The following is a 16059-nucleotide window of genomic DNA, read 5'->3' as shown; positions in this document are numbered from 1 at the left end:
CCTTACACCCCGATTCCACCATTCTAAGATATGGGGTCCCTTCCCCCAACTCTTACACCCCGATTCCACCATTCTAAGATATGGGGCCCCTGCCCCAACCCTTACACCCCGATTCCACCATTCTAAGATATGGGGTCCCTTCCCCCAACTCTTACACCCCGATTCCACCATTCTAAGATATGGGGCCCCTTCCCCCAACCCTTACACCCCGATTCCACCATTCTAAGATATGGGGCCCCTGCCCCCAACCCTTACACCCCGATTCCACCATTCTAAGATATGGGGTCCCTTCCCCCAACCCTTACACCCCGATTCCACCATTCTAAGATATGGGGCCCCTGCCCCCAACCCTTACACCCCGATTCCACCATTCTAAGATATGGGGTCCCTTCCCCCAACCCTTACACCCCGATTCCACCATTCTAAGATATGGGGTCCCTTCCCCAACCCTTACACCCCGATTCCACCATTCTAAGATATGGGGTCCCTTCCCCCAACCCTTACACCCCGATTCCACCATTCTAAGATATGGGGTCCCTTCCCCAACGCTTACACCCCGATTCCACCATTCTAAGATATGGGGTCCCTTCCCCAACGCTTACACCCCGATTCCACCATTCTAAGATATAGGGTCCCTGCCCCCAACCCTTACACACTGATTTCACCATTCCAAGAGACCCAATTTAGAGTAGAGGAGACGCCAGGAAGACACAGATGGAAGGGACGTGGGGAGCTGCTGAATCCATTCATATATTGCTGGTAGGTAGGCAAGATGCTGCAACCCGTATAGACGCAATATGGCCCTCTCCACTAATGCTGCAAATAACCTCTGATCCAGTAACCCCTCTTCTGAGAATCCGTCCTACAGATATAACTGCGTGATTATTTAGTTATAACAGCAAAAGACTGGAAGTCATCCACATGCCCATCAATAGGGGACAGGTGAAGTAAATATGGTACATCTCTAGCAGAATATCATGCAACTCTGAAAAAGAATGAGGATGCTCTCTAGGAATGAATAATGGAAAGCTCGCCAACAGCAAGATGCAGAATGGTATAATTGCATGACACCTTTTAATTACAAAAAGGGAGGTGTGAACAAAGAATACAATCTTTTTTATTAGTATAAAAAACTTGGCTGGGCGCGGTGGCTCACGCCTGTAATCCCAGCACTTTGGGAGGCCGAGGCGGGTGGGTCACGAGGTCAGGAGATTGAGACTATCCTGGGTAACATAGTGAAACCCCGTCTCTACTAAAAAACAAACAAAAAAACTCTAGGTCAGGTGCAGTGGCTCACATCTATAGTCCCAACAGTTTGGGAGGCCAAGGTGGGAAGATCACTTGAGCCCAGAAGTTTGAGACCAGCCTAGGCAACACAGGGAGACCCCATCTCTACAAAAAATTTAAAAACTAGCTGGGTGTGGTGACATGAGCCTGTATTCTAGCTACTCAGGAGGTGGAGGTGGGAGGATTGCTTGAGCCCAGCCCAGGAGGTTGCAGTGAGCTGAGATTGCACCATTGCACTCCAGCCTGGGTGACAGAATGAAACCCTGTCTCAAAAAACAACCAAACAAACAAAAAACCAACATAAGAAAACCTCTAGAAGGATGCATGAGAAACAAAAGTGGTTACCTGTGTGGGACTCGTACATAGACAGGAAGTGGGTGAATAAGAGCAGAGAAAGGAGTGAGACTTTTCACTGCACGCTTTTTTTTTTAAAGACAGAGTCTCAGTCTGTCACCCAGGCTGGACTGCAGTGGGCACAATCTCTGTTCACCGTAACCTCTGCCTCCCAGGCTCAAGTGATCCTCCTACCTCAGCCTGCTGAGTAGCTGGGACTGCAGGCGTGCACTACCATGCCTGGCTAATTTTTAAAAATTTTTAGTAGAGACAGGGTTTCACCATGTTGCCCAGGCTGGTCTCGAACTCCTGAGCTCAAGCAATCTGCCCGTCTCAGCCTTCCAAGGTGCTGGGATTACAGGTGTGAGCCAATGTGCCCGGCCCCACTGTATCCTTTTTATATGGTTTTGATTTTTGAACCAGTTAAATATATTATGAATGCAAAATTAATTATAATAATTGAGTGGGTGACCAGCACTAGGGTTCCCATCATGAGATGATGCCAGAGAGTCTCTCCAATCTAGGTGTGAATCAGAATTCACAAAACCCAGGAAGGCTGGGTCGCCCGTGGGCATCTCGTTTCACCTCCTCCCTCAACAAACAGGATCTGTGGAATCGTTTGGTTTCCCACCACTAGGGGGCGCATGTGGGCTCTGCTTAGGGCAGCAGCAGGTGACCTGAGCGGGGCAGGGATTAGAGAAACGATCCAGAGGGCTGAGACAAGCTAAGGTGTCTCAGGAGCTCACAGAAATGAACTATAGCTCGGCTGCTAGAATATGCAGCAGTGGGCCGGGCGCGGTGGCTCACGCCTGTAATCCCAGCACTTTGGGAGGCCGAGGCGGGTGGATCACGAGGTCAGGAGATCCAGACCATCCTGGCTAACATGGTGAAACCCCGTCTCTACTAAAAATACAAAAAATTAGCCGGGCGTGGTGGCGGACGCCTGTAGTCCCAGCTACTCGGGAGGCTGAGGCAGGAGAATGGCGTGAACCCGGGAGGCAGAGCTTGCAGTGAGCCGAGATCGCGCCACTGCACTCCAGCCTGGGCGACAGAGCGAGACTCCGTCTCAAAAAAAAAAAAAAAAAAAAAAAAAAAAGAAAATGCAGCAGTGGTTAGGAGGGTCATCAGTCAGCCCAGGGAGCCTCAGAAGCAGGGCTGGGTCTCTGCACCTGCATTCTGCCTTGGCTCTCATGTGCATATATATCTACGTTGAAAGCTGCACTCAGCAGCCTGGACAAGCCCAGCCTGGTAACAGTGGGAACCACTCAGTGGCCTTCAGAGGACTAGCCTAGTTTGCTTGAGGTACAGGGACAGAGTTAGCACAACTCAACATGAAACTGGGCCTGAGATGCTGGGCCCGGAGTTGGGAATGGGAGGACAGCAAGTTGGCAGGTGTGGCTTGCTCCCCACCTCCGGCCCGGTTTCACCTTTTGCTACCAGCTGCCATCTGCACGACAGGGGAGTTCAGCCACCGCTGCCACACAGAACCCAAGCGAGGAAGTGCAAGCAGGGCAGCCAGCCTCAGGTAGTCCATTCTGGACCTGGGGCTTTGGGAGACGCTAATTAGAGCAGAATTCAAAAGCCCAATGCCTGCCTGGGGGCCAGTGGTTCAGGTCCCTGGATGGTGGAACCAACAATGCCGGAGAGGAGCAGCCTTCCTGGAGATAAAGGAATGGGTGGGAGGACCCGCCTCTTTCAAGTAACAACTGAAGGAGAAGAAGCATCAAGTATCTTTACTCCAACTGCCGGTGGAAGGAGCCAGTGTTTCATCTGCCACAGACAAGGTGAGAGGAGCGAAGGGCCATCGCCAAGTGTGACCTGCCCCTCTCTTCCCCGCTTCTCTCCCTGGCTATTTCCACCCAGGGATTTGTAGTGGCTGCCTTTACTCAGATGAGCGTTTCTGCGGTAACTAGGGTGCATTTTCTCTCAGCCTGCACTGGTGATACTGGTTGTTTGCTTCAACTTTGGAAGGCATTCAGCCCTGCTCAACCCCCAAAACAAGAAAGCAACATTCGCAACTGGACTCTGATTGGGAGGATAAAGAACTGTCCTGAGGCGGGTAGGTCACTTGAGGTCAGGAGTTTGAGACCAGCCTGGGCAACATGGCGAAACCCCGTCTCTACAAAAATACAAAAAAGTAGCCGAGCGTGGTGGTGCGTAGACCTGCAGACCCAGCTACTCAGGAGGCTGAAGTGAGAGATCGCCTGAACCCAGAACCTAGAACCAAGGAGGGGGAAATGAAATCCATGCTACACATCCCATTGTCCTTGTCCTGCTGGAGATGCAAGACAGGGTCCGCATGCACAGTGCTCATGGCGGCTACCCAGGGAACCAGGCCAGGGCCAGCCTCTCATGCAGTGGACACTGATGTGGGCACACTCAGCTGGCTGGGTAAGGAAGCCACAGTCTCCTAGAGTGTCTCTGGACACCATAAGCCCACAGTTCAATGACCAGAGCTTCGTCTGCATGAGGGCCAACTCCTCAATGCCGCCGCCCCTCTAGTCTCTACTCCTGGGTAGGCCTCACAGGCAGACCAATCCCTGGGCAGCACAGAGTCTGGAGCAAGACAGAGGTGGGTTCAAACACTAGCTCCTCTCCTTTTTTTTTTTTTGAGACTGAGTCTCGATCTATTGCCCAGGTCGGAGTGCAGTGACGTGATCTTGGCTTACTGCAATCTCCGCCTGCCAGGTTCAAGCAATTCTCCTGCCTCAGCCTCCCAAGTAGCTGGGATTACAGGCACCCACCATCATGGCCGGCTAATTTTTGTATTTTTAGTAGAGAAGGGGTTTTACCATGATGGCCAGGCTGGTCTCGAACTCCTGACCTCAAGTGATCCACCCTCCTCAGCCTCCCAAAGTGCTGGGATTACAGGCGTGAGCCACCACGCCCAGCCCACGGGCTCCTCTCCTTACTGGCTGTTTGACTTTGGTCAAGTCACTAAACCTCTCTGAGCTTCTGATGTAATTAGGGAGAAAATCAGGGTCTACCTCAATGGATGCTGGGTGATGAAAAGTAACAGCATATCCCAAGGTGTGAAAGGCTTCTCGGCCCCTGCCTACCACACCGAAGGGGACTGATGAATGCAGGTGCCTTCCCTCCCTGCACCTCATGCCCAGTCCCTGCCTTCCTCTCGTTCCTAGGGATGGTCTAGTTGGACTTGTCTCTGAGGTCACCTTCCACCGGCACGCTGGAGGCTGGAGTGCTGCCCCTGCACCATTTCTTATGTCTTGTTTTTTTGTTTTTTTTGAGACAGAGTCTCACTCTGTCGCCCAGGCTGGAGTACAGTGGTGCAGTGGTACGGTCTCGGCTCACTGCAACCTCCACCACCTGGGTTCAAGCGATTCTCCTGCCTCAGCCTCCCCAGCAGTTGGAATTATAGACGTGCGCCACCACACCCGGCACATTTTTGTATTTTTTGTAGAGACAGGGTTTCACTATATTGGCCAGGCTGGTCTAGAACTCCTGACCTCAGGTGATCCACCTGCCTTGGCCTCTCAAAGTGCTGCGATTACAGGTGTGAGCCACCGCACCCCACCTCCCTTGCACCTTTTCAAAGACGCTCCTCCAGCAAACTTCTCTTCTCTTTTTTATGCCTGCAATTTTTCCCTATTAGATACTTCCCATGTGAATATAAACATTCTAGGCCAAATGCAGTGGCTCACACCTGTAATCCCAGCACTTTGGGAGACCGAGGCAGGTGGATCACCTGAGGTCAGGAGTTTGAGACCAGTCTGGGCATCATGGTGAAATCCCATCTCTACTAAAATACAAAAATTAGGCCAGGCGTGGTGGCTTACGCCTGTAATCCCAGCACTTTGGGAGGCCGAGGTGGGCGGATCACGAGGTCAGGAGATTGAGACCATCCTGGCTAACACGGTGAAACCCCATGTCTACTAAAAATACAAAAAATTAGCCGAGCGTGGTGGTGGGCGCCTGTAGTCCCAGCTACTTGGGAGGCTGAGGCAGGAGAATGGTGTGAACCCGGGAGGCGGAGCTTGCAGTGAGCCAAGACCGCTCCATTGCACTCCAGCCTGGGCGACAGAGGGAGACTCCATCTCAAAAAAAAAAAACAAAACATTTCACTAGGGAAAATTCCAACCATATACAGAAGGAAAAGGGGACAGTATAACAGCTGCCCATGTACTCATTACCCAGCTTCAACAATGATCAAGTCACGACCATCTTGCTTCAGCTCCTCCGCCTGCAACCATTGTTTCCTACCACTGGATTATTCTGAAGCAAATTTTAGACATCATATATATTTATCTCTGAAAGAGGACTCTTAAAAACATGCACTTATACCTCTATTACACTGACAAAATTGGTAACAATTCCTTTATATTATCAAATTTCCTTATTGAGTTCCTGATGTTCAAATTTCTGATTCTCCAGATGCTCCAAACTTCCAGAAACACAGATTCCCAGATGGAATCCTGGGGAAGGCTCGAGGAGGCTTTATAGGAAAGGTTGTAAGGTCACTTTTTTTTTTTAGACCAAGTCTCGCTCTGTCGCCCAGGCTGGAGTGCAGCAGCACAATCTCGCTCACTGAAACCTCCATCTCTCAGGTTCAAGTGATTCTCCTGCCTCAGCCTCCCAAAGAGCTGGGATTACAGGCGTGCACCATGATGCCCAGCTAATTTTTGTATTTTTAGTACAGATGGGGCTTCGCCATTTTGGCCAGGCTGGTCTCGAACTCCTGACCTCAGGTGATCCACCCAGCTGAGCCTCCCAAAGTGCTGGGATTGCAGGCGTGAGCCACTGTGCCCGGCCTATGCTCCCTTTCAAAAACAAAGCAGATGTGGGGTGGGGTGGTGGCTCATGCCTGTAATCCCAGCACTTTGGGAGGCCGAGGCGGGTAGATCACTTGAGGTCAGGAGTTTGAGACCAGCCTGGGCAACATGGCGAAACCCCGTCTCTACAAAAATACAAAAAAGTAGCCGAGTGTGGTGGCGCGTAGACCTGTAGACCCAGCTACTCAGGAGGCTGAAGTGAGAGGATCGCCTGAACCCAGAAGGTCGAGGCTGAGTGAGCTATGATCACACCACTGCACTCCAGCGGGGAGACAGAGTGAGACTCCATCTCAAACAAAACGAAACAAAACAAAATAAAAACCAAAGTAGAATGCGATTGAGCACCTTCTGCATACTCAGATCCATGCTGTGTGTGTTGCCTGCATTGCTCTTCTGTTCCTTACATCTGCCTTCTGGGGTAGGCTCAGAGATGAGTAAGCACGGCTACACACTTCGTGGCACAGCCAGGATGTGAACCCAGGTCTGTGTGACCCCAAAGTCCCAGCTATGAACATCCCCATATGCCCTCCGCAATGCCCCAAGATAGAGTGAGGGGAGTCAGCTCCTTCAGAGCTCCCTCCTTCCTCTTAGATCATTTCTAGATGGAAGGCACGAGTTAGATAGCAAGAGAATGAGCTATTCATTCCCTGTGGGTGGGAAGGAGGAGGAACCCGCTCCTCCTTTTTGTGGCGATGGGGTCTTTTTTGCTCAGGCTGGTCTCGAACTCCTGCAAGGGATCCTCCCACCTCAGCCTCCAGGAATCCCTTTTACTGAAAAGAGACAGGCTGAAGACTGCCTGGAGTCCAAATCTCAGAATGTGCTGAAATATCGCTGGCTGCAATATCCCAGGGGAGAGGCAAGCCTTCCCTAGCACCGGCTTCTCTCCCAGCTTATTAGCATCTCCTTGCCATTCCCTGAAGGAGCTCACTGCAGGGCAGACCTTCCTGGCTAATGAAAGCTGCCTAGCAACAGGGAGCTGGTTAATAAAGCCTGATGTTATTCCCGGCTCCACAGATTCCACCCTTCTCGAATTACAGCTCATCCTCAGTCTGAAGCAACCCTCATGTTGACCCACTTGCACACAGCAGGGCAGGGAATCTGGTGACTGAGGAGGCAGGCTGGTGTCTGCCCCAATCCCTGGGGGGTGGGGAGGCTGAGGTCCTGGGAGATATGATTGGCCTGAGAACCTGCTCTGCCTGGCCAGAAGCCTCTCTGTGAGCCTCTGAAACCTGCTCTACCAGCCAAAGGTTAAAATGCAAACTCAGTGCCCAATCGGAATAGGGTAAATAAAACACTATGGACCTCGGGCGGTGGTATGCACCTGTAATCCCAGTTACTTGGGATGCCAAGGCAGGAGCATACCTGGAGCCCACGAGTTTGAGACCAATCTTGGCAACATAGCAAGACCTCATCTGGAAAAAAAAAAAAAGAAAAAACAAAAGCACCTTCCCCTCCAGGGGAGGGGGCGACAGGAGATACCAGCCTATACTTTAATTCAACAGTAAGTCTTTATATTAAAATGAAAAAAAATCCAAAAACCATATGATAGAGAAAAATGTAAACTTGATGTGATGTTTTAAGATAAAAAGGATAAAAGGATATATCAAAGACCTCTCCCCAACAGTGGTAGTTTTTGGATTTTGTTTAAAAAAAAAAAAAAAAAATGAGGCCGGGTGTGATGGTTCACACCTGTAATCCCAGCACTTTGGGAGGCCAAGGTGGGCAGATCACCTGAGGTCAGGAGTTCGAGACCAGCCTGGCCAACATGGTGAAACCCCTGTCTCTACTAAAAATACAAAAATTAGCTAGGTGTGGTGGCAGGCACCTGTAATCCCAGCTACTCAGGAGGCTGAGGCAGGAGAATTGCTTGAACCTGAGAGGCGGAGGTTGCAGTGAGCTGAGATAGCACCACAGAACTCCAGCCTGGGCAGCAGAGTGAGACTCCGTCTCTAAATAAATAAATAAATAAACAAACAAACGAGACAGGGTCTCTCTCTCTCTCTGTTGCCCAAGCTGGAGGGCAGTGGTGCAATCATAGCTCACTGCAGCCTCAACCTCCCGGGCTCAAGTGATCCTCCTACCTCAGCCTCTGGAGTAGCTGGGACTACAGGCGTGCACCACCATGCCCAGCGAGTTATTTATTTTTTTGTAGAGACTGCATCCTGTAATATTGCCCAGGCTGGTCTCAAGCTTCTGGTCTCAAGGGATCCTCCCGCCTCAGCCTCCCAGAGCACTGGGATTGCAGGTGTGAGTCACCATGCCTGGCCCCATAGTGGTAGTTTTGAGTCCATTCTCCTAGCGCCACCCTCCACTGGCACGGAGGTGGCAGTTACATAGGTTCTGATCCTCGGGCCTGGGAACAGCACACAGAGAACCCCACCCACCCCCCTGCTGCCGCCAGACTGGTTTGCCAGCGAAAACTTCCACACAAGGAAAGTTTCTACTCGCAGGGGCCTACTGCATGTCCAGCTTCTGGACAGACAGGTTTAGGAACAACCACAGCAAACACTCAACAAAGCAATTTTCTAGCCAGTCCTAGGAGTCTTGCCCCTCCCGTTGGGTAACAGGAATGGGGATCTGGCTGCAAACTTTCCTGGGTTTGCCCATGGTCAGGTCTTGACACAGTGATTCTTCAGGAAGGCTCTCCAGGAAGGCTCTGTGTTTTCTGTTTAAATGTCTGCATTCTAAGAAGCTCAGAGAAGCTTGTATTGCCTAGGCCTGGCTCTCCTCAGTCACCCCCAACCCTCCTCTGCCAAGAACCATGGGTCGGTGTGGAGTTGAGGGGCCCAGTACACAAGGGTCCCTTGAAACTAGGGACCGTGGTGTCGCTAGGCTGGTAATCCAGTCTCCACAGACTTCACTCTGCTCTTGACCTCTCAGCACGTTCTCTATACTCCCATTTCTCCCACAACAAAGCTGAATTCGGACGTGGCTAGGACAGTAGCAAGGCACAGTTTAAGTCTGGATCAACTTCAGACTAAAAATGCATTTCAGAGCATTTTTCCAGGGACTGAGGGAGACTGGCACATCAGAATCTCCAAAAAGGCAGAGAGGGGTGGTGTTTTTGATCCATACCTTGCTAGTCTTCCCTCCCCGTCCCCCGCAAGAGTCTCTCGTGATTCCACCATGCAATGCAAGGAAGCTGCTTTGCAGGCAGAGGAAAAAGGTTGATAATCAATGCTTTCAACGAGCCTCAGTTTCAGCCCAAATTGGGATTTAGCTCACCACTGAGCACCAATTTTGACAAAGCATAAGGATTTCTCTGTCTGTAGGCCCTGAGATACCCTGGCCTGACTTAGCCCGATACTGTTGGAACCTCTCCTGCTCCTGTTCTCCGTGACTGTACCGAACCCAAAACAGAGGCTGCACACTGGCAGAGGCTGGCAGATGTCTTTTGTGTGGCCCACACAATTTTTTTTTAAATGGGAATTAGCTGTCAGTATTTAAAAAGTAGGAATTTTTTTTTTTTTTTTTTTTTGAGACAGAGTCTCGCTCTGTCACCCAGGCTGGAGTGCAGTGGCGCGATCTTGGCTCACTGCAAGCTCCGCCTCCCGGGTTCACGCCATTCTCCTGCCTCAGCCTCCTGAGTAGCTGGGACTACAGGCGCCCGCCACCACGCCTGGCTAATTTTTTGTATTTTTAGTAGAGACGGGGTTTCACCGTGTTAGCCAGGATGGTCTCGATCTCCTGACCTCGTGATCCGCCCACCTCCACCTCCCAAAGTGCTGGGATTACAGGCGCCCGCCACCACGCCCTGCTAATTTTTGTATTTTTAGTAGAGACGGGGTTTCACCAAGTTGGCCAGGCTGGTCTCGAACTCCTGACCTCAGGTGATCCACCTGCCTCACCTCCCAAAGTGCTGGGATTACAGGCGTGAGCCACTGTGCCCGGCCGAGAATTCTAATACTCTTCAAAGTTGCTTATCATAATACTGGCATGCCTTTTTTTTTTCCAGAGCATAGGTTCTGCTGAGAAAAACTGAGGTCAGGCTGTGTCTTGTAAACCTAGGAATCATTATTCCACCATCTCAAAGAACTGGGGAAACCTTCCCAAACGGACATGGTATGAACTCAAGTCCTACAAACCTACCTTCAGCCTCAACAGCCAAAGGAGGAGAGACGAATATTCTTTGAGTGCTTACAATGCTACGAACGAATGAACATTTACACACATCATCTCAATCCCCACGAAAGTTCCTTGAGGTGGGAATCATCAGTCTGTTTTTAGAGGAGCAAACTGAGGGTGAGAGAAGTTAAGAAACTTGTCCAAGACGACTTAAAAGGCAGGACGCCAGGATTCAAACCCCAGTCTGTCACTCAGACTCTGCTCAGAGGCTGCCTCTCCGACTGCCCTCCCACATGTTTTTTCTTCCTAGCTCTTATCACATGCCAAGTTATTGGATGACATATTTACTTGCGCATTTGTTTCCTGTCTGTCTCCCCAACAGAATGTAAGCTCCTGCGGCAGAGACTCTGTCCATCTTGTCACTGCCATTTCCTTGCACGGTGAACGGTGTCTGGCACCTGGTGAGCCCTTGGTGGGGATCTGCTGCTGGATGAGGGGAAGGGCAGCTGTATCTGCTGTGCCACACTACCGTCCAAAGCATCCCTTCCCTTATCTGTTCTTTCATTATTTTCCCTCCACAAACCCCAACACCAATCTCAGAGGCCAAGGAATACAACACAGAGAAGGTGAATGGTTCCCTGTCCCTTCAGATGGGGGGTTGAGAGGAAGCTGAAATTCCTAGAAATCCAAGAAGAGTCTGTGCGTAGGGATAGGCTTGCTCCTACAAAGCAAAAGTCTTCAGGCTGAGGAGGCGGAAATGGTTTATAAGCGACTCTCTCCTTTCTGGGGCTGGAAGGCTTGGCCACACTGAGAAGGAGGTGATGAGAGAGTCCCTTCTGAGGCTGGAAGCCTTAGCCACCTCTCCTAGCCCACGCTCAGGCTCCTTTGCATCCAGTCAAGGGCTTGGGGTTAGGATCATGGAGCAACACGGGTGGGAAACAAAGGGAAAGTGGCACAGAGCATCCGAAAAGCACAAACCCCTCCCTGAAGTCAAAATCAAAATCAGTCAGAGCACTGGTTCCTGAACTCAAATGACCTAGGGCAGCGGCTCTCAAAGTGGGGTCCCCAGACCTACTAGAATCAGAAACTCCAGGGTTGGGACCCAGAAATCTGTGTTCTACCAAGCCCTTCAGGTGACTCTGATACATGCTAAAATGTGAGAATTACTATCCTGGGGAACAAAAAATACGCAGATTCTTGACCCCTGAAGAACCTGATTTAGTAGGTCTGCAAATGGGGCCAAAGAGGATTTCAAAAGCTTCCAGGTTGATTTGGACTTGCAGCCAGATTTGAGAGCTACTGCACCTGAGGACTCATCTTTTCCTGGCCCCAGGCCAGTGTCCTCGGCTCTAGACCGACCTCCCATCATCCTTCAGTCACTCACTCACCACATAAAGCAATGATGTGGCTGCTGTCTTCATGCACAAACTTCCTGGTGACAGCCTCCTCCATGATTTGCTTCACCTGCGGACACATGGACAGCATCACTGCTTTTATTATTTTCCCTTATCAAAGACCTCTGGGCAAATAAATAGTTTGGTTCCGCCCTTCTGGTCTGAAGGGCACTTTCAGACACTTGCAGAGATGACAGGGATGAAAGGTGTGGGGAAGCAAAGTTTCTTCAGCACAGTCTGATTCCAGTCTTTTGGAGGGGAAACCAGGGAAAGAGATGCCAAAAACCCATCAAACAATCAGTGCATGTTCCAGCCCAGGTGGAAGTGCCCTGCCTTGGAGAACAGGAATAGGATGCTGTTTGCTCATCTGTTCTCAGCTCACGAAGGGCTTCTGGGCAGATATACTGTCCTTTAGAGACAAACCATCTCGGTACAGCCTGCAGATAAACAACCTGCCCCTCCTCCTTTTCTCCCTATTCTCCAAGGTTAGGGGTAGGTCTCATACCTCAGGGACACCCTCTACATGCTCAAAAGCCCAGCCTTCTTTCCATCTAGGGTCTAGAACTCTGATGTTTGGGGTTCCCACCTGGATGTAAAAGTTCCCAAATACCTTGTAAGGTAAACAGTCATTTTTTTTTGAGATGGAGTCTCGCTCTGTTGCCCAGGCTGGAGTACAGTGGCGTGATCTCGGCTCACTGCAGCCTCTGCCTCCCGGGTTCAAGCGATTCTCCTGCCTCAGCCTCCCGAGTAGCTGGGACAACAGGTGCATGCCACCACGCCCTGCTAATTTTTGTATTTTTAGTAACGATGGGGTTTCACCATATTGGTCAGGCTGGTCTTGAACGCCTGACCTCAGGTGATCCACCCGCCCGGCCTCCCAAAGTGCTGGGATTACAGGCGTGAGCCACTGTGCTCAGTCATTTCTTTAAGAAAGCACTTAAAAAGAAATCTTTTTAACTGATGTGCAGTAAACATATAAAAGAACATATCACAATTACACAGCGTGGTGAATTTTCACAAACTGAACACTCCTGTGAAATCAGCAACTAGAGCAAGAAACAGAACATGTGACCAACACCCTCGCCTCATCACCTTCCCTTCTAGTCACTATTCCCCCTAAGGGTACCCACTCTCCTGATTCCAACACGACAGTTTTGTGGGTTTTTATACTTTTTTTGTTTGTTTGTTTCTGAAATGGAGTTTCGCTCTTTTGCCCAGGCTGGAGTGAAGTGGCGCGTTCTCAGCTCACTGCAACCTCCAACTCCCGGGTTCAAGAGATTCTCCTGCCTCAGCCTCCACAGTAGCCGGGATTACAGGCATGCACCACCACACCTGGCTTTTTTTTTTTTTTTTGTATTTTTAGTAGAGACGGGGTTTCTCCATGTTGGCCAGGCTGGTCTTGAACTCCTGACCTCGGTGATCCACCCGCGTTGGCCTCCCAAAGTGCTGGGATTACAGGTGTGAGCCGCCACCACACCCGGCCTGGGTTTTTATACTTTTTATAAGTGGAATCACTCAGCGTGTAGTGTTTTGTGACTAGTTTCTTTTGCTCACCTGTGTCATTCTGAAATTTGTTCATGTTGTGTATAGCTGTAGATTGTTCATTCTCCGTGCGCGTTGTGTACAGTTGTAGGTTGTTCACTCTCCGTGGTGTGAACGTACAAACACCCGGCGTTTGGGTGGTTTCCAGTTTGGGGCTGTTATGGATACTGCTGCTGTGAACATTGAGGACTGTCTTCTGGTGAACAAATGTTTGGGATTTATGTTTCTAGGCAAGGAATGTCTGATGCACACACTTTATTAGATATTGCCAAATTGTTCTCCAAAGTTGGTTATACCACTTTACACTCCCATGTATGAGGTTCTGGTGGTTCCCAACATTTAACCCAAACTCTGTTGATGTCCTGGGAGAACCTGCTAGCAGGCAGTCCTAGTACTGGAGATTATAGAGATTACCTAGTGCAGAATGTTACACATAAAGTGAGCCTTGGGTAGAGCTAGTCTTCCCCATTCTTTAGACAGGAATGTAATGTTCTGATGCTGTCCAGGTTCCCAAGACCCTTAGTCAAGACTGTATAGTTTGGAGGGTGGTAGAACCTCAAAAGCCTGGGGAGGCGGGAAGAAGGACCTGGAGGCCCCTCCCTGCCGGAAACTGCTAATGGTTAGTGCTCAGGTAAAAGGGGATCAGATCAATTAATGCAAATGCACTCTAAGCTGTTAAAAGCTTCCTAGACGGCTGGGCATGGTGGCTCACGCCTGTAATCCCAGCACTTTGGGAGGATCAGGCTGACCAAAATGGTGAAACCCCATTTCTACTAAAAATACAAAAATTAGCCAAGCATGGTGGTGGGTGCCAGTAATCCCAGCTACTCAAGAGGCTGAGGCAGAAGAATCACTTGAACCCGGAGGCAGAGGTTGCAGTGAGCTGAGATCGCACTCCAGCCTGGGCAACAAGAGTGAAACTCTATCTCAAAAAAACAAACAAACAAACAAAAAAAACTTCCTAGATTACCTCCCAAGGATGTTAGCATTCAACAGAGGATAATGTCACAGCTAAAGACCTGGAGGCATCTGAAGCAGGCTGATGGGGAGGATTTTTGGGTTGAAGGATCTGCAGATACCCCTAGAATTATACCAGTGGTCCTTTGTGAAAGGCCAGCCTGGTCTACCAATATTCCTGTTGTTTTTCCTTGCAGAAGGGACAGGATGTTTCTGTAGAAATTAAACACTGGGCCAGGCGTGGTGGCTCACGACTATAATCCCAGCACTTTGGGAGGCCAAGGTGGGCGGATCACGAGGTCAGGAGATCGAGACCATCCTGGCTAACATGGTGAAACCCCGTCTCTACTAAAAATACAAAAAATTAGCCGGGCGTGGTGGCAGGCGCCTGTAGTCCCAGCTACTCAGAAGGCTGAGGCAGGAGAAAGGCGTGAACCCGGGAGGCGGAGCTTGCAGTGAGCTGAGATGGCGCCACGGCACTCCAGCCTGGGCAACAGAGCGAGACTCCATCTCAAAAAAAAAAAAAGAAATCAAACACTGAAGGAGGAAAGGAGAAACATGAGTTCAGAGCAGGTCAACTTTTGTCAGGAATGATACGTAGCTGTGGCATATTCTGACATTTCTCACATTTTCTTAGGAATCACTTTTGGAGCAGTATAGTCCAGTTTCTAAGCACTGGTGGAAAAAGTCATCATCCTCTTAAAAAATATTTCCTGGCGGTCGCAGTGGCTCATGCCTGTAATCCCAGCACCTTGGGAGGCCAAGGCGAGGTCAGGAGATCGAGACTATCCTGGCCAACATGGTGAAACCCCATCTCTACTAAAATACGAAAAATTAGCTGGGTGTGGTGGCATGTGCCTGTAGTCCCAGCTACTTGGGAGGCTGAGGCAGGGAAATCGCTTGAACCCAGGAGCTGGAGGTTGCAGTGAGCTGAGATCGCACCACTGCACTCCAGCCTGGCGACAGAGCAAGACTCCGTCTCCAAAAAAAAAAAAAAGTATTTCCCATTATCTGTGACTAACCTCCAAAATTGAGCCATATCTATAATCCCAGCATATCCACCTCAAGTGTAGACACAAGTACTTTTCTATTTTGTTTACACTGTTCAAGTCTCTGTCACTAGACTGCTTCCTTTTGCAGGAGAATCAAGATTTCTCTTTTCATTGGGGAGAGCAGAATTGGGCTTAAATGCTGACTTGATACACCCCTGGCCTAAGAAATCCTTTTTTGGGCCTCTTCACAGCAAAGACATAATGAAGCTTCTCCCACAAGCGGGAAAGCTGATGGCTTCAACTACATCTTTACCAAGGGGAGGGGTGGGAACAAACATTAGGGCCTAGTAGCCAGGCCATGGCTAACGCATGAGAACCATCTAGAGATTTCCGGGACTTTTTTTTTTTTTTTTTTTGAGATGGAGTGTTGCTCTGTCGCCCAGGCTGGAGTGCAGTGGCACGATCTGGGCTCACTGCAAGCTCTGCCTCCCGGGTTCATGCCATTCTCCTGCCTCCCAAGTAGCTGGGACTACATTCGCCCGCCACCACGCCCAGCTAATTTTTTGTAGAGAGAGGTTTCACCGTGTTAGCCAGGATGGTCTCGATCTCCTGACCTCGTGATCCGCCCGTCCCAGCCTCCCAAAGTGCTAGGATTACAGTCGTGAGCCACCATGCCCAGCTTTCTTTTTTAGACGGAGA

At 50.1% G+C, this 16059-nt stretch overlaps 1 protein-coding gene across 27 annotated transcripts in view, besides 2 other annotated features; it reads right to left on the bottom strand.

The window, feature by feature from the left end:
* Nucleotides 1-16059, bottom strand: part of SGSM2 (small G protein signaling modulator 2) — a 43554-nt gene that overhangs the window by 25571 nt on the left and 1924 nt on the right. For 18 of the 27 annotated variants that reach the window (XM_011524101.4, XM_011524102.4, XM_011524103.4 and 15 more), the window contains exons 2-3: nucleotides 11864-11939; nucleotides 10824-10961 (exon numbers count right to left, since the gene is read on the bottom strand). The exons of 1 other annotated variant lie outside the window; for it this stretch is intronic. In XM_011524101.4, coding sequence (XP_011522403.1) covers nucleotides 10824-10961; nucleotides 11864-11939 — 214 coding nt within the window. Of the gene's footprint in view, nucleotides 1-10823; nucleotides 10962-11863; nucleotides 11940-13423; nucleotides 15109-16059 lie in introns of those variants that run through there. 8 more of the 27 variants (XM_011524106.2, NM_014853.3, XM_047437213.1 and 5 more) reach the window with 2 other exon arrangements.
* Nucleotides 1763-1862: an enhancer, noted in NCBI's record as "active region_11491". NCBI's record gives its function as "activates an Ori minimal core promoter by ATAC-STARR-seq in GM12878 lymphoblastoid cells {active_cell/tissue: GM12878}" and the evidence as "EXISTENCE:reporter gene assay evidence [ECO:0000049][PMID:35858748]".
* Nucleotides 6841-7778: an enhancer, noted in NCBI's record as "H3K27ac-H3K4me1 hESC enhancer chr17:2251000-2251937 (GRCh37/hg19 assembly coordinates)". NCBI's record gives its function as "activates a minimal SCP1, AML or CMV promoter by ChIP-STARR-seq in naive and primed H9 embryonic stem cells {active_cell/tissue: H9 hESC(naive and primed)}" and the evidence as "EXISTENCE:reporter gene assay evidence [ECO:0000049][PMID:30033119]".

The sequence above is a fragment of the Homo sapiens genome, chromosome 17, assembly GCF_000001405.40.
Source record: "Homo sapiens chromosome 17, GRCh38.p14 Primary Assembly".
NCBI classification, from domain to species: domain Eukaryota; kingdom Metazoa; phylum Chordata; class Mammalia; order Primates; family Hominidae; genus Homo; species Homo sapiens.
This window is presented reverse-complemented; position numbering and strand designations above follow the sequence as displayed.